This window comes from Homo sapiens, chromosome 5 (assembly GCF_000001405.40).
Source record: "Homo sapiens chromosome 5, GRCh38.p14 Primary Assembly".
Taxonomy (NCBI): domain Eukaryota; kingdom Metazoa; phylum Chordata; class Mammalia; order Primates; family Hominidae; genus Homo; species Homo sapiens.
In genome coordinates this window covers 168,223,855-168,241,986 of record NC_000005.10, presented here as the reverse complement: position 1 = coordinate 168,241,986, position 18,132 = coordinate 168,223,855, and the positions used below count along the sequence as shown (strand labels likewise).

The window sequence follows — 18,132 nt, the reverse complement described above, 5'->3', positions numbered from 1 at the left end:
AAGAGTCTAGATCTCTGTTGATCTAGGTGTCTTCAGTGTTCATCCATACAGCCAAGGATTGCTTTCCCTAAGCTCCTTTCAGATCATAGGAAAATAATAAGCGTAAATCCTGTTTAAACCCTTGCTATTGCTAATCTCTGTTACTAGCGGTGGAAACAAATCTAAATTGATACAAGCCCCTGATACTTTGGCAGGTGCTATGCTAGGTACTTTACATACCTGATCCCATTTTCACTTTCATGACATAGAAACTATCTTACATAAGAGCAACTGAGGTCTACAGGAGTCCCATAACTAGACAAGTGGCAGAAGTGGAATCTGAACCCAGGACTACAGATTCTCCAAACCATTGCTGTTTCTATAAGGTCATCTCAGAGAGAGGATAGAATATTTATTATAGGACAATTAGAAAAGAGGATGCATAGGCCAGGTGCGTGTGGCTCATGTCTGTAATTTCAACATTTTAGGGGGCTGAGATTGGCAGATCACCTGAGGTCAGGAGTTTGAGACCAGCCTGGCCAACATGGTGAAACCCTGTGTCTACTAAAAAAAAAAAAAAAAAAAATTAGCCAAGCATGGTAGCATGTGTCTATAATCCCAGCTACCCAAAAGGCTGAGCAGGAGAATTGTTTGAACCCAGGAGGTGGAGGTTGCAGTGAGCCAAGATCATGCCACTGCACCCCACCCTGGGGGACAGAGTGAGACTCTGTTTCAAAAAAAAAAAGAACAAAAAGAAAAAGAAAAGAGAATGCATCAAAGCATGGGGAGGGAAATAAAGGTGGTGAGTTCTTGGGATTATAAGGAACCCTAACTTCAAGTGGAAGATTCCTATCAACAACTTCCAGCAACTGGGAATAGTCAAGAAGGCAAAGGCTGAGTAGTAGGATTTTTTATTTTTTTAAAAACAGGTCCAAAAGTTAATGCCGTCTGAATTATACGGGATTGGAGCCATCATTTTCAGAGCAAAACACACAGTGGTGGTCAGAAAGATAGGTCTTCTCCTCTGCCAACAGAAGCTTGGTCACATCGGGTTGGTTCATCTGGGACAACTGCGGAAGGCCACCATCATTCTTAAACCTATGGGTTTCAGATTTTGGTTCAAGACCTCTCCAACATTTTGTTAGGCAGAATGAATGATGCAACAATGAGGAAGGATTTCCAGGGTTTTTGGAGGCAACTGCTGGGGACTTGCCATCATGCCTACTTATTTCCATCCCCTTGGCCATCCTTAGTTTTTCCTCCTTCCCTTTTCTTATATTTTTTTTTCTTTTTGCTCATATCATAGGGCCCTAGTGCATTTATTAATTATTGAACATTGAGTGTCAGCTAATGCCAGGCTTTGGTGTCTGCTCTGGTATACAAGGAAGAAAAACCACAGCAACAGCAACATGTTGAGCATTTACACAGGCTGAGTGTTATTCTCAGCATTGCCCTTGTTTTGTCTAATTTACACAACAACACTCTCAGGCAGGCATTATTATCATCCCCATTTTGCACACAAGATATAGATGGGTTTAAGTGACTTGCTCAAGTTTAGATAAATACTCAGTGGTAGAGCTAGGATCCCCATACAGAGCTTGCTGTCTTAACCTCCAGGTTGTACACCTCTAGGATTGAGGGGTGTTGGACTACAGGCTTTCCATCAAGCATGCAATTCTAAACCACATGGGACACTCTCTTAAAGCTCTGCTGCTCGGCTGGCTCCACGCCTGCTGAATCAGCTCCTCAGGGAATAGGGGTTTGGGTCTTGTTGATTTTTATTTGTTTGAGACAGAGTCTCGCTCTGTCATCCAGGCTGGAGTGCAGTGGCACGATCTCGGCTCACTGCAACCTCTGCCCCCTGGGTTCAAGTGATTCTCATGTCTCTGCCTCCCGAGTAGCTGGGACTACAGAGGTGCACCACCATGCCTGGCTAATTTTTACATTTTTTTAGTAGAGACGGGGTTTCGCCATGTTGGTCAGGCTCGTCTCAAACTCCTGACCTCAAGTGATCTGCCTACCTCAGTCTCTCAAAGTGCTGGTATTACAGACATGAGCCACCGTGCCCAGCTGTGGATTTTTGATTTTTAAAACCTCCCTGGGTGATTCTGATGTGTACTCTTGGTTAAAATACACTCAGTGTGATATAAGGCCTTATCTTTAGTTACCTGGGAAAGACCAATGGGAAAATCACATATATAACCATAATATAATCATATGTGTGTATAGATGTACATATGTGTGCATAATATACTATAATATGTAATCATGGGAAAGACCAACATGTAAATAATATATGTGATCATGACTATCATAATAAGGATGATATTAGTGTGTGAGGGTGCTTAGATTACAGAAAGAACCCTGAACATTCCTGGTCTCATAAGCTAAGCAGGATCAGGCCTGGTTAGTGCTTGGATGGGATTACAAAAGAACTAAATACTGGGTAAACAAAGAAGAGGGGTCCCTAACCTCTGACTGCCACCCTGGGATTTACTGCTGTTACTTAGAGCTGAGAGGCCTCTGACCATTGACCCAGGTGCACCAACTATAAAGAAGTAATGATAGGTGCTAGCCATTAGCCATGGATAACTTAGGGTGGGTTTTTACTTGCAAATTTACCATATCCCTGGGACAATGGGATTTTTTGATAGCACAGGTTTGAGTTAACTTTGAAATGTGAAAATTTCTATTAAAATGCCCAATCCTTCTAATAATTAAATCTGAAAAATTCACTGGAAGGTGAGCCAAGGAGTTCAGGCCAGTTGTGTAATCTAATCAAATTTCTTTAATTATGAGGGTGCCATTTATAAAGGGGGGTGCCCCGGCTGTGGGTGCGAGATGCTGGAGGGTCCAACAGGCACGATCGGCCCTTTGAGGATACCTGCCCCCCCAGTTTAGAGCATGTGGGAGCTTTAATTTAGCTGCAATGTTCTCTTATTCTGAATTAAATTACCCAGCTAGCAATATTTAAATTAACCTTGAGGCTTCCTGGAGAACATAAAAGTTATTTTGAATTATTTTCACTGCCGGGATCAACACGATTCCCTTCCCAGTCGGCTTGGTAGGAATTCAGTGATAGAGAAACCAATTTTTAAGTTAATACAATTTTGTGTTTGTAAGGAAGCCATTATTTTTAATTATCGGGCATTTTCCTCAGCCTGGCTTCCCCAGTTAATAAAACTCAGCTATTTAGCATGCTTTTTTATTTTTGCAGAGGGCAGACTTTGGGAAGTGGTTTCCCCTGCAGAATATCCCCCCAGAACGTTTTGATCTCACCAAGCATACGCCTGTCACAAGGAAGCTCATAAAAAACCTGGAGAAAAGGAAACGCTGTCTTCAAAACGGCCCTGCTGGGCCTATAACTGGTGACTCTAACTTAGCTCCAGGCGCAATGACGGGAGCTAGTGATTTGAGAAACATGAGGGAGGAAATTACACTGGGCTGGATCCCCTCCAGGAAACGGAATTGTAACACAGCAGGAGAGATTTCAGTTAGACGTATAGAAGAACCCTTTGCCCATCCTGCTTTGAGTATGGGAAACCCAAAAAAGATTAGTGAGGGGGGTCACGAGAGTCTCCCTGTCTGGCGACGTTTAAAAGCAGAAGAGTTTGCCTTGGAGAGTTTAGTTATTTACCTACCCAGAGGTAAAGCCTGGCCTAGAGGACATCTTCATTTTCTTTCCGGGTCAGTCTTCTGGGATTTTTTCTTTTCTTTTCTTTTCTTTTCTTTTCTTTTCTTTTCTTTTCTTTTCTTTTCTTTTCTTTTCTTTTCTTTTCTTTTCTTCTCTCTCCCTCCCTCCCTCCCTCCCTCCCTCCCTCCCTCTCTCTCTCTCTCTCTCTCTCTCTCTTTCTTTCTTTCTTGAGATGGAGTCTCACTCTATCTCCCAGGCTGTAGTGCAGTGGCGCAATCTGGGCTCACTGCAAGCTCCACCTCCCGGGTTCACACCATTCTCCTGCCTCAGCCTCCTGAGTAGCTGCGACTACAGGCGCCCGCCACCATGCCCAGCTAATTTTTTTGTATTTTTTTAGTAGAGACGGGGTTTCACCGTGTTAGCCAAGATGGTCTTGATCTCCTGACCTTGTGATCTGCCCGCCTTGGCCTCTCAAAGTGCTGGGATTACAGGCATGAGCCACCGCGCCCGGCCTGGGATTTAAAAAGTAGCTATCCCCAGCTCCCACACAACAAGACTCAATGCTACATTGGGATCAGTGCTTGTGGAGACAAAACAACTTGCTATAAATTTAATATTAATAATTAAATATAAATTTAATATAATAATTAAATAATGCATCATTAGAAGGGTAAGCCTCTGCAAACACATTAAATAATGTATTCCCCAAGCAAACATTATGTTTGGATGACTTGCTGTTTTGGATGGAGGTCAGGTGGAAAGACCCGAGTTTGAGTGGCGGTTTTGATACTCATCAGTGTCACTGATTAGCTTTGCCATACCAAAACCATACCTTCACCATTCATGTCTCAGTTTCCTCATCTGTAATAGCCTGGGAACTGGTGAGTCGGGACTTTATCTTATTTTTCTTAGTGTCTCTATTTTGTTTTGGAAAGTGCTTGGTGCTCAATGAACATTAGTGAATAAGCAGACTGAATCAGACTGGGTACAAGAACCCTGCTAACTCTGATGATCTAAAGTTCCAACGTGGAAAATCAGGAATAGAAAATATGATTAGGCTGGGCATGGTGGCTCACACCTATAATCCCAGCACTTTGGGAGGCTGAGGCGGGTGGATCGCTTGAGGTTAGGAGTTCAAGACCAGCCTGGTCAACATGATGAAACCCCGTCTTTACTTAGAAAACACAAAAATTAGCTGGGCATGGTGGTGCATGCCTGTAGTCCCAGCTACTTGGGAGGCTGAGGCAGGAGAATGGCTTGAACCCGGGAGGTGGAGGTTGCAGTGATCCGAGATTGTGCCACTGCACTCCAGCCTGGGTGACAGGGCAAGGCTCTGTCTCAAAAAAAAAAAAAAAAAAAAAAAAAAAAAAAAATATATATATATATATATATATATATATATATATATATATATATATATATATATATATATATGATTAGGACATCTGTGGTCTCAAAATATCTGAAAAGCTTCATTCCAAAGACCTATTAGAGTCATTCTGGAAGGCCCCTGGGACCTGGAATTCATAGGCAAACGTGGGAGGGAGCAGATTTTCATTATGTCAGTGGAAAATCCCATTCATTCATTCATTCTTTCATTCAATATTTACTGGGCACCTACTCTGTGTTTGTTACTGGGACTGTTGTAAGATAGAACAAGACAGTTATGACCCCTGCCCTAGAGGGGCAGGCCACAGGCCAGAGGGGGATAACGACAGGTGAGCCAACAACAAAAACCATTTTTAGTGTGGTAATGGCAGTAGACACAGGGAAGGAACTGTGGCAGTGAGGAAGGATGTGGAACCAGAGCTGGGACTGATGAGGATGATTTCCCAGAGAAAGCGCTGCTCAGTGGGGGCCTGGGTATGAGTAAGGCTTGGACAGGTGAGGGTGGGAGAAGAATCAGGGAGAATATTCCAGGTGGGGAGGGTCAGCAAATGAAAGCACAGGGGATGAGCAAAGGCCTTGCACAGGCAGAGCATGGCTGTTTTCAGGTGATGCTGTGAGTATTCTAGTGCAGGTGGGTGGTCCATTGGTAGGGATGTAGTGAGAAGGGGCAGAGGGTGTCTGGTATGGAGGCTCAGCCCAGATGACCGGAATAAGCTATATTTGTTATCCTTTGACCTGAACTTTCAGGAGTCAGGTATGTTGTATATTTCCTAGTGTCCAAGAAGGAGGCTCCCGATGAGGGCTCATTTGCATGTACCGGGTGGATAATCTGCAGAAGACTTCTGTATTTCTAAGATCCTTAAAAGGGCCAACAAGATAAGGCTCTACCCCTTGACCTTACCCTCAGCTGGTTTACTCCAGCCACACTGGAGCTCTCCTTCTGTTCAGGATACAGGCAGAAGTCTCTTCTGCCTCAGGGCCTTTTGCACATGCTAGGGCTTTAGCATAGAGGCTTTTCCCCCAACTCCATGCCTGGGAAATTCCTACCTACTCTTCATTCAGTTCTCAGTTCAAATGTCATTTTCTCAGAGAGGGCTTAACCTATATCATATATTCCGTATTAGCTCCACCGTACATTTTTCCCAAAGCACCCATCACAATTTCTTTTTTTTTTCTTTGAGGCAGAGTCTCACTCTGTCACCCAGGCTGGAGTGCAGTGGTGCCATCTCGGCTTACTGCAACCTCTGTCTAGCATGTTCAAGTGATTCTATTGCCTCAGCCTCCGAAGTAGCTGGGATTATAGGCGTGCCGCACCACACCTGGCTAATTTTTGTATTTTTAGTAGAGATGGGGTTTCGCCATGTTGGCTAGGCTAGTCTTGAACTTCTGACCTCAGGTCATCCACCCGTCTGGGCCTCCCAAAGTGCTGGGATTACAGGCTGTGCCCAGCCCACAATTTCTATATATTGTTTGTACATTTATTGGATTATTATCTCCTTGCTAAGGTATAAGAGGTAAAGGCATAAGCTCCATTAGGGTTTTTCCACTTTTCCACATCATCATCCCAAACAGAAGCCACCCAAAAGTAATGTTTGCTTGGGGAATACATTATTTAATCTGTTTGCAGAGGCTTGCCCTTCTAATTATGTGTTATTTAAACTAATATTAAATTTATCCCAAGTTCTGCCTGCACAAGTGCTGCTCACCATGTAAGGTGAAATCTTTTGTTCACTAATGTACACTCAGTGCCTAGCGTAGTGCCAAGAACACAGGAGGTGTTTGAAATATAAAATATTAGTCACGTGAAGAATGAATGCATTGTGGCAGGAAGGAGCTGTGAAAATTCAGGCTTTCATAATGACTTGTGTGTGTTAACAGACCGGCTTGAGTGGGCTCCACGCAGAACTGAGTTCATGTGTGTGTGTTCACATGCACATAGGCACGCCCATCCCCCCACCTCCCTCCTCTGTCACTGTGATTTGCCACATAAGTAAAAGTAACACATGCCAACACGTAATTGCAATGTCATATTAATTATATGGGAGCCAAAACAAAATTACTAACTCCCACTTCTTCTTGGAATACTAATAACACTAATACCAATATCATGATGGAAGATTATCTTGGAAGCAATTTTTCTTTTGTTCTGCTACCTACACATGTAGCTGTTTCTTGCTTCTGCAATCTCTATGTAAATCACAATCAGGAAGAAATATCCTAGAGCGTGGTTATATGCTTTCCTTTACAAAGAAAGAGAATCATCCTGCACAAGATCCGTTTTAGGAAAGGGTAGAAGTTTTAAATCTTAATAGAAGGGGTTGATTTCAGTTCTCTCTTCCAAAAGCCTAGAAAAAAGGCTTGTTGGGGTGGGAGGCAATAGAGCCTCAAGAGATCCTCAGGGCCAGGAGTTTTAGATCCTCAGGGCCAGGAGTTTCGCCTTATGATTAGGCTTCGGAGGGATGGAGGATGTAGACTATATTTGGGATATTTATATTTTAACCTTGTATCTCTTTCTTTCTTTTTTGGGTACGGCACCTCTTTTTTCTAGGGCTTCCCTGTCTAGGTGCTTTTACTGAGATGTCTATTATAAGATACAGGTATGGTCATGTGACCTGTGCCTGCCTGACTCATCACAGATCCCCAGCTCCCTGACCAGTGATTTGCCCAGGAATGTGAACTCCCTCTGCCAGGTCAATCTTTCTTCCATGAGATATTTTATGAAAAATAGAAATGCTGGGGGAGATACCTTCCTTTTTCCTCTGGGTTCACTTAGCTGTGATGATGTAAGCCTGGAGTCAACTTTGGCTAAGTCTGCCTGACCACCCCCCACCCCCGCAATGTGAAGAGGACATTAGTCTACTGTAGGAGAAAATTAGGTCAACTGCCGAGAGAGAAACCCTGCCATGGGATGGAAGGGGGCTGTGAGAAACAGAAAGAGAGACGTCCATCTGATATGGTTTGGCTGTGTCCCCACCCAAATCTTGATTTGAATTGTATCTCCTAGAATTCCCATGTGTTGGGAGGGACCCAGGGGGAGGTAATTGAATCCTGGGGGCCGATCTTTCCCGTGCTATTCTAGTGATAGTGAATAAGTATCACGAGATCTGATGGGTTTATCAGGAGTTTCCGCTTTTGCTTCTTCCTCATTTTCTCTTGATGCCGTCAAGTAAGAAGTGCCTTTTGCCTCCCGCCATGATTCTGAGGCCTCCCCAGCCATGTGGAACTGTAAGTAAGTCCAATTAAACTTCTTTTTCTTCCCAGTCTTGGGTATGTCTTTATCAGCAGCGTGAAAACAGACTAGTACACCATTTAATGACATCTTAGAGTCTCTGAGGCCAGCTTCTCCCTTGTGGTGGCCCTGTTAGGTAAGACAGCGCCTACTCTTCTAAGTTAGTCTGAATGCACTTCCTGTCTCTTGCAGTGGAAGGATTCCAGACAGATGTAGGGGCAATGTATTTGTGAATTTATACCCACTGTGGTGGGGGAGCATTTACACATTAAGAAGGCGCCTATAGAAGGCACAGTTATTACATCTTTCTTTGTCACCTGTTGTCTGAGTACCCACCACATGGCACTTGTCACCAGGGATACAGGGGCGACCTGGTCCCTGCACTTATGGAGCTCACAGATGCCATGATGTAACTGCTTCTTTTTTTTTTGAGATGGGAGTCTCACTCTGCTGCCAGACTGGAGTGCAGTGGCACGATCTTGGCTCCCTGCAACCTCCGACTCCCTGGTTCAAGCGATTCTCCTGCCTCAGCCTCCTGAGTAGCTGGGATTACAGGCATGCGCCACCACACCCAGCTGATTTTTGTATTTTTAGTAGAGATGGGGTTTCACCATTTTGTTCAGGAGGGTCTTGATCTCCTGACCTCGTGATCCACCCGCCTCGGCCTCCCAAAGTGCTGGGATTACAGGCGTGAGACACCACGCCCGGCCTGCTTCATGTTTTTGCAAGGCCAGAGTGAGTGAAGAAAGGAATGGAGGACAATGCGGGAAGGAGGGGGAGGACTCTTTCAAAGGAGATTCTTTGAGGAGTTCTTGGGAGGCATAATGAAAATCTTCCCTGCACTGAGTTTGGGCAGGAATGAAGGGACTAACACTCCATTACAAAGCTTTTGGTGAAAGGATGTGGTCCCGGTCTATCCATCCGCCATCATCTTACATTTCCCCAGGCTGTAAGGAAGAGCCACTGATACTTTCCTCCACTAAGAGATGCCTCCGTCTGGAGGATTGTGGGAAGAAAGGGTACCTAGGTGGGTTGGAATTTCACTGGGCACTGTTCTATTGTGATGGCTTCACTGAGATTGTTGGTCTTCTCTAAACTCCAGGAATGTTCAGAGCCTTGGGCCCTCACACCCCTCAGCTGACCAGGCTCCCAGGAGCTTGCCAGTCCCGGGGACGTTCAGGCTATTTGCTTCATGCATGATACCCACACATTCTCTCCAAATCCCTGCTCTCCACATGGGGAGCAGTGATTACATGGAGCTGGTTAAGTGGCTGCATTTCAAAGTTCATTTAGTTTCTTCTCCATTCCAAGAGGCAGGGCTGGGGCCACCAGAATCTTACATCTCTGGCTTGGGTTTCAGCTCCCAGCCACTCTCTTTTACAGAGCCCACAAAGCGTGGACGGCCACCCAGCCTTCCCAGTTTACATGATCATGGGGAGAGCCTGTCAAAAGGTGAGCATGACACAGCAACCCTGCTAGTTGCCCAATCCTCGTCCTCGTGTGCTAGACATCTCTCAAATCTCTCCCCCTACCTTCTTTCTTTCCTCGCTGCTAGTGATTTAGTTTCTTGTTTGGACTAATGCAGCACCCTCCTTACTGTCCCTCTCCTCCTATCATCTATCTTGTCCCCTTCTCATCTGTCTTCCTCCATACCTGAGGAAGTCAGAGAGATCTTTTCTTTCCTTTTCTTGAGACAGGGTCTTGCTCTGTTGCCCAGGCTGGAGTACAGGGCATGATCAGAACTCACTGCAGCCTCAAACTCCTGTGCTCAAGCAGTCCTCCTGCCTTGGCCTCCCGAATAGCTGGGACTACAGGCATGTGCCACCATGACAGGGTCTCCCTATGTTGCCCAGGCTGGTCTCCAACTCCTGGGCTCAAGGGATCCTCCTGCCTTGGCCTCCCAAAGTGCTAGGATTATAGGCATGAGCTACTGTGCCAGGCCATGGTCGGCTATTTAAACTTTTTTTTTTTTTTTGGTTGTTGTTGTTGTTTGTTGTTGTAGAGACAGGGTTTTGCTATATTGCGGTTTTGCTATATTGCCTAGGCTGGTCTTGTCTTGAACCCCTAGGCGAAAATGATCCTCCCACTTTGGCCTCCCAAAGTGTTGGGAAAACAAGCATGAGCCACTGTGCCCAGGCTGGAGAGAGCTTTCTAATGCCACACATCCCAGCACATCACTCTGCTAATGAAGTCCAGGTAGGGCTCACCATTGCCCTCAGGATAAATGTTAGCCTGGCACCATGTTCTTTTCCATGTGCAGTCTCTGGCTGCATCTTCTTTTTCTACCCTACTCTCTAACACATCCACTGCCACACTGAATTAGTTTTCTGAAATGCCATTCCCTTTTTGGCCTCTTGGCCTTTCCACTGGCGACATTCTTTGTCCTGTCACCTCTGTTCCCTATCTCTGCCTGGCTGATTCTTACTACTCTACAGAAATGATTCCAGCTCCTCTGTGAAGCCCTTCCTGATCTCTTGTCAAACGGGAGACCTGATCACTCTGCTACGTGCTTACCAAGTCTTTGTTCATCTTCTTCTTCTTAGGCACTCAGAAAAGACAACATTTTCCAGGCTTCCCTGTGGTTCAGTTGAGGTTCCCTGATAGTGTTCTCACCAGGGTGGGTGGAAGTGAGGCCTGCCGTATCCAGGCCTGCTTATTAAGCTCTCGTGAATCACCCAAACTCTCTTCCCTTGCTGCAGCAACTGCACAGAGCCTGTGCTTAAGATGGCAGGATCGCAAGACAGAGCAACTGGAGCAAGTCCTCATTAAGAAGAGCCGCCCGATGCATTTGGACTGCGATGTGTTACGCCCATGAGATTTCAGGGTTAATTTGTTACCTGGCCGTGGCCTATCCTCTTCCAGCAGATACAGTTAAGTATCCCTTTCTTTGTGCTTTTGGCCTGTATTATAGCTTACATCACACTACTAATATTGTCTTCTCCATGAGACCGTTAGCTAGTCGGTGCCACCCAGTTTTCTTTATCTCTCTAGAGTCTCCTTGTTCCGTGGTACTGACTGTAGTGTTGGCACCTAATAAACATCTTTTGAATAAATGAACTTTCATGCCCTCATGTGACAGTGGAGCAGGGATGAAAAGACACAGCAAGACTAAGATAGATAGATAGGGAGAGAAGAGCCCATCTTGCCAATGGTGAGACAGCCTGCTAGCCTTATGGGGCCAATGGGTACCTTCGGCTTAGGGGCTGCAAACTCCCTGCCATGGGCTCACGAAACATCTGACGAAATGGCCACTCCCCAGTTCCCTCAATCCACATCACACCCAACATTTCCCTTATACCTTCTTCCAACTGCTCTCCTGCCATTTCCAGAAGTTGCTTTCATTTCATTCACTAAACAGTTTACGAACTGAATTAAAATAAATGAGATGCAAATAAATTCCAGGCTTTCTCCCTCATTTTCAAATTACATTTTCAGTCCACTCAACCTGTTATAATCTCATAGTGATTTTCATTTAAGAGAGCTAAATGGATATGTGATTGTTGTTACAGGAACTAACACCAGACAATTAAATGTTGAGGTGTTGATAGATAAAACTGTGTTTTGATTTGCATAAACACGATGCCAGCAAATCTAACCCTGGCAGAAATTCAGTTATAAGACTTGTGTGCCTAACTTGGGCTAATTACCACAAGTACCATTATTAAAGAAAGAGTTTTAATATTTGGAGTTGGGATTATAGCCACTTTATTTTAGGGCCACATTTATCTTTATTTGGAAAACTTAGTCAAAATGCATAACTGATTTATCAGAGAAAAGGCACGATTACTACTTATAATCAACTTCTACAGTGCAGCATATCAAAAATCAATTACACAGCCCTGAAATCCAGTCATTAAGGATTTAACTACTAATCTCATTCCATTTTTGTCTTTAGGAGGCTACTGCAGTTTGCAACTTTGCAGATACCAGCAGAGGAAGAAAAACCTGGGAGACTGCTGCTAACCTAATGTGGAGACTTGACTTAAACTTCAGCCAGACAAAGGCGGAATCTTAATATGGAGGGGCCTGGCTCTGCAGGGAGGTCACCTGGGCTGGCTGGATTTCAATCCAGTTACACAGCAAAAAAGTTACAACCCAAGCTTTGGCGATGCTGAGCCTTCTACTCTCAGGGATTCCAAAGCATTTGATAAACTCTTTCTTTGTTCCATTGTTTACTGACTTCCTAGTGCTTGTCTTGTTCTGCAGTTATTTATTTATTTTTATTTATTAGTTTTTACTTATGATCTACCCCTCTCTCCCATCTCCCCGCAACCTGAAGGTAAGGTGCAGGAAGTTATGGCCTTTGCTTTGTATGCCATTACATTCCCCCTCCCCAGGGAAGGGGTTAGCATGATGGTAGGAACTGTTCCCTCTTGGTGACAGATAAGTGACTGGAGCAGAATCCACTTCTGCTGAGAAGCTCTGGATGACCACGGATAAGCAGGAAGGCATGTGACATATTGGCAAGTGAGTCAGACAGAAAGAGAGACGTGGGATCGAGTCCTGGCATTGCCCTTTCTAGCTATTGTGTCCTTGGACAGGTAATTTAGCTTCCCTGAGTCTGTTTTCTCATCTGAAAAATGAAGATAGTAATAATTATCCTCGTGGGGCTATTGAAAAAGTTAAAATAATACAAGCAAAGCATTTAACATAGGGTTTACATTATAATATTATAATTATACATATAATTATACATTAATTATATATGTAATTATATATAATGTAATGTATATTATTATGTATACATATAATGTATTATATATGTATATTATGTATACGTATATGTATATTATGTATACATATAATGTATATAATTATACATTATAATATAATATAGGGTTTACATTATAATATAAAAATGTAATATAAAATTACATTATATAATAATTATAATAATAATATAATTAATGTTATATATTGGTTTTAAAAAGATGTCACGTGGGGCAAGTTGCCTGGTCTGGGAAAACGAGGGTTGGCTAAAACTCCCCACTGAGGTTCAGTTGTTACTTCCTCTTGGGAAATCTTCCCTGAACCTCTCAGGCTGAGTGGCATCCCTCTGGGATCCCATCAGACCCTGCATGTACCTCTGTCTTTTCACTTAACCTGTGATCATCCTGTGTCTGCATATTTTATCAGACCCTCAATTCCTTGAGTGCAAAGAACATACTTTAAAAGTTTTGTTCTTCCAGCACTTAGCAAATTACTCAGCACATAGTAGGCACGAACACCAATTCATTGGTTGAACTGGCCAGACAGTGAAAACTGAGGAAGAAGAAGACAGCAAGTGTGAAAAGAAGACCAAAGCTGTCTCTAGTTACAGCGTAATGTAAATCCCCATAGCAGGAAATGGCCGCCTTTTTCAGTCCTAGGAAATGGAAATGGAGAACGTTTTTCCCAAGGTATGAGTCCCAAAGGGAGATGGATTCTACCTTCTGAGTGGAGAGTTTGCCTTTTCCAGGGAATAAAGGGGTATTAGAGGCTTTGAAGCTGGGAAACTTTCTCAGCTCTGTGAGGAAAGTGTATATCCCCTCCCACTCTGTGGTAACAGAGAAACTTTCTCAGCTCTGTGAGGAAAGTGTATATCCCCTCCCACTCTGTGGTAACAGATTGGGTGGAACCACTTACCCGGAGCTTCCTGCCAAAGATGGTGACTTTGCCTTTAATCTGTTCCTTTCTTAGGCGCCACTCAATGGAGTTTAAGCCATTCTCCATAGGCAGGGAGATGTTGCAGCGTCCAATGGTGGGGGTGATGGTGCCCGCTAGGACATGGGGCTCGCTGTGGAAGCTGATACCCATCCCATTAGCATACATCACCCTCAGGGTACCATTATTACAGAGCTGGTAGCTGTTCCGAACTTGATCTGGAAAAATGTAAGTGGGGGTGGGGATAGGGAAATAAATTATCCGCTCTATTAGTCAGAAGAGAATAGAACCCCTATTTTTTTTTAATAGGTTTCCATGGTACTTTGCAGCCATTAGTCGAAGGCTGCCTTCAATTAGCACACATACATACCATGTGAAGGTAAGTAGCAGAGATACTACTGATCCACGTAAAGAAAAACATAATATGTGGCACTCCAGAAATAATTATGCCGTGATGTTTCTTTTACTCACTGAAGACTATTAATAGCACGTTTAAACATTTAAAGATGTCTATTGCCTACACAATTTGTGTCAATCAAATTCCCGAAGCTTAACATATATATTTTAGCTTATACCAGGAAAAAAAAAAAAAAAAAGAAAGGCAAATGACTTCAGTTTTCCTCCTTTTGCCTGCCGTCTAACCCAAGGTTGCTGGTCTAGCCACAGGCCAGATCCACTACAAATCAAAGCCCAGGATTCTTTCTTTGAGAAAATGGAGAGAAGAAGTCAACCTTCCCCATCCTCATGCTTTTACTGCCGACTGCACCTGATACCACCCCCACTCAAGAGAACTCTGAAGAGACTCAAATACATCAGGGAGCTGGAGTCAGTGGGTGGGTGCTGATAATGTGTTTATCTTCCCCAGTGGAAACTACACGAGTCAATCAGACGTCTGACCTTTTCCTTTACCGAAAAGTTACGGGAAGGAAATGTGAGTCAGAGACTCCTTTTACAGATACACTGCTTCCTGACTGTCTGGGCAAAGGAGCTGGCCTGGGCTGGCCTCTGAGATGTCAGCTTTTGGGGCAGTGAGCAAGTGTGTACCTGTCGCTCCTGTGACTCCAGCCGTCACACGCAGAAGGACAGAATCTACATCATTAATCATTTGGCAGAGCAGAAATAGAGTCATTGAAACAGGCTCCGCTGTGGGATAATAGTCCAGAAATGTCACCATTTATCTACTGAGAGGACACTTTTATCCTCTGACAACGGGCTAGCCCACCGACATTATATCTTAATTAAAAGAAAAATTAATCGGCACAATTCATTTTCTTGCCAGCCCCAGTGCTTGCCCTGGACTGCAAAACATGTCTAGTAGCAACAATAACCACAGGGTGGGCAGAGACCTTTGAGATCCCAGTCTTGGAGAGAGAATGTTAAAGAGCTCCAGTCCCAGGGCAACCAACTCATCAAACAAATGCTTAAAAGAGAGAATCAGGATGGAACAAGAAAATATGAAGTCTAGTGGTGAGCCAGGAGAATAAATGGCCTTTGAGAAGATAACTATGTGTTTTGGGTTGGTGGGGAGAGGTGGTGATGGAAGGGTAAGAGGTAGGGAGAGAGTATGTGGGGGGCGGGTGGAAATGGACATTTTCAGATAACTATGTAGACAGTTCAAATATCTAGACATTTGGCTGGGTGTAGATGACATTCTGTTCTATCTGATTAAGTCATTTTCTACAAGATTGACCTCTTATAGTTTGCTGTGGACACTTGAATAAAATAGAAAGCTAGGGGTACGCTGGGTCTCTGGAAGTCCTCCCAGGCTGCATAACTCACATGTTGGGCTTGGCTGGGTTCTGGGTCTATGGGTGAGTTTGGGGGTAGGATGGTATGGGTGGAGGCTCACCTTGTACCACTGTGTAGGAGGCCTCTACTGAAGAGAGGTTGGTGATGACAGTGACGTCATCATCACGGTTGGAGTTCTCAATGTCAATGGTAATAGATTTCTCCATTTCCCGGTGCAGACTGGTTACCACCCCCGTGGGGCGCGTCACGTTGGTCAGGCGGCCTTCGTGGTCATAGCTGGGGGGAGATAGATAGATAGATAAACCCTGGTTAGCAGCAGTCATTGGGGCTGACAGTGTTCCCAAGACTCACAGGGCCAGAGAAAGAGCTGGGAAGGTGGGTTGGCTGGGTGGCGCATCTCACTGAGGCCCCTCGTCACAGTCAAAACCCTATTATGCCCGGAGAAACAGCTGTGATGCTTTCTTCTACCCGCTGATATAACTGACTTCAGCTCCTGGAAAACATTTCACCTGGTCTCAGGCTTCCTCTAGTTAGTTAGAGAAAACAGCCACTTGTGAGCTTCTCTTACTTTTCTGTTTCTTTTCTTTTTTTTTTTTTTTTTTGAGATGATGGAGTCTCACTCTGTCCCAGGCTGGAGTGCAGTGGCACAATCTCCGCTCACTGCAACCTCCACCTCCTGGGTTCAAGCAATTCTCCTGCCTCAGCCTCCCGAGCAGCTGGGATTACAGGCATGCACCACGATGCCTGGCCAATTTTTGCATTTTTTGTAGAGATGGGGTTTTGCCATGTTGGCCAATCTGGTCTCGAACTCCTGACCTCAGGTGATCCACCTGCCTTGGCCTCCCAAAGTGCTGGAATTACAGGCGTGAGCCACGCACTTGGCCCTCTCTTGTTTTTTAATTTAGGTCTTCTACAAAGCCATCAAATCAATATTCCCCAAATAGCAGTTTCACCATGTCAGTTCCCTGCTGAACAAACCACACTCTTTTCCCATTGGTTGCTAAATCAAATAAAAATCTCGCATTTGAGACCATCCATGCCCTGAGTCTTCTACTGGAGTCCAACCTTGTCTCACTTGTCATCTCCTAGGCCTCTGGACAATCAGCCTGTGCCAAATGCCACCTGCACAAATTGGCTCAGCATAGAAGGCCTGGCTGCATGGAACCTGTTCTTTGGTCCCCACTAAACCGCCATGGCTCCACTTCCCAAGCAGCCTTCTTAGACAGTTTCCCAATGACTCCCTTACCATCAGCAGTTGTCCTTAGCACCCAAGTAAGTCTAGGGACACCAGTGATCATGCCCTACTGCCTGCAAATGGCCTGACACTGGGGCCTCCTTCTTTATGTATATGTGTCGTCTTTCCTCTTTTCTCACACCGTGGAGTTTTCTCCCCACATCACCTTTAGCAAGAAGCCTTGTTCTAGTTGGGACAGCCTTTCCCCACTTTGGAAGATCCACTGTACTCTGAGAGCTGGGCCCTTCTCACACCCAGGAAAGGAAAGCAGGCTCGTTTCCAGGCCTTTGAGCTCTCCCAGATGAGTTTTGTTACTGGAGGAGGAAGGGGAGGAAGAAGGCGGAGCTATGAAGACATTTTGCTTGGAGGGTAAAAAAGAAGGGAAAGTGGCTCAACTCCTGCGGGTTACTCCCTTTGGACTGGGGAGAGGGAAAAAGCTGGCAGGGTCTGAGGGATGGGAACTGGAGCTTGTGCAGCGCGTGGGGATGGGGGGTCCTCAGAGAAGGATCCCTGTGGGGAGGGCCTGTGAGCGGTGGAAAGGACCGCTGTGGCCTGTTGGATGTTGTCGCTTAGGGCTTAGGATGACAACATCAAAGACAGAGAGCACTCAGGAAATGTTTTTGGAATAAAGAATTGCAGACCTGGCTCAGGCTTTCAGGGATCTGAGAAACTTTGCTTCTGGGAAGAACTAGAAGCAGTGAAGCTCTGCAGAAGTTTGAAAGCTGAGAGTGCAATCACATTAAGCTGTACACCGCGCTGCCTAAAGGTGTTGGGGGAGAGAGGAGGGAGATCTTGGAGCAGGAATGTCTGTGAGCTCAGGATCCACCGCTATCACTCGCCCAGGGCCCCAGGCATGGGGTGGCGCAGACCATGCACTCCCTGGAAAGCCCTGGTGTTGTAATCAGGGATGGGGACTTAGGTCTGCTAAATCAATAGGGCTCCTCTGTGCTTTCTTACCTGCTAAAGAAGCCACCTCTCAGGCAGGGGGACAAAGGTGCTATTTACAATAGTGACAAATTAGAACAACCTAGATGTTCCTTGATGGGAGATTCATTAAATAACTGATGATCTATCCATAAAGTAGAAACCTATGAAGCCATCAGGATCGACAACATGGGTTTCTATTTATTGGCATACACAAATCTACACGTGTTGAGTGGAAGTGTGGGGTACAAAATATACTCCCTTGACAGTAGCTTTTTTTTTCAGGGAGGGGTAAAAAATATCAGTATCTATATGGAGCAGAAATTCTCTGAAAATATAGACATTTAAATG

The 18,132-nt window shown here is 44.8% G+C and overlaps 1 protein-coding gene and 2 long non-coding RNA genes across 35 annotated transcripts in view, besides 1 other annotated feature; 2 read left to right on the top strand and 1 right to left on the bottom strand.

The window, feature by feature from the left end:
• TENM2 (teneurin transmembrane protein 2) overlaps window positions 1-18,132 on the bottom strand; it is a 1,285,129-nt gene that overhangs the window by 22,171 nt on the left and 1,244,826 nt on the right. For all 33 annotated transcript variants that reach the window (XM_047417418.1, NM_001395460.1, XM_017009661.2 and 30 more), the window contains 2 exons: window positions 15,724-15,899; window positions 13,857-14,092 (listed from right to left, as the gene is read on the bottom strand). In XM_047417418.1, coding sequence (XP_047273374.1) covers window positions 13,857-14,092; window positions 15,724-15,899 — 412 coding nt within the window. The remainder of the gene's footprint in view (window positions 1-13,856; window positions 14,093-15,723; window positions 15,900-18,132) is intronic.
• Window positions 9,615-12,404, top strand: TENM2-AS1 (TENM2 antisense RNA 1). Its single transcript, NR_109894.1, has 3 exons — window positions 9,615-9,683; window positions 10,931-11,101; window positions 12,127-12,404. It is a non-coding gene; the product is annotated as a TENM2 antisense RNA 1 (long non-coding RNA).
• Window positions 13,546-13,635: an enhancer, noted in NCBI's record as "active region_23586". NCBI's record gives its function as "activates an Ori minimal core promoter by ATAC-STARR-seq in GM12878 lymphoblastoid cells {active_cell/tissue: GM12878}" and the evidence as "EXISTENCE:reporter gene assay evidence [ECO:0000049][PMID:35858748]".
• On the top strand, window positions 14,088-15,377 carry LOC124901128 (uncharacterized). Its single transcript, XR_007059038.1, has 2 exons — window positions 14,088-14,253; window positions 14,522-15,377. It is a non-coding gene; the product is annotated as an uncharacterized LOC124901128 (long non-coding RNA).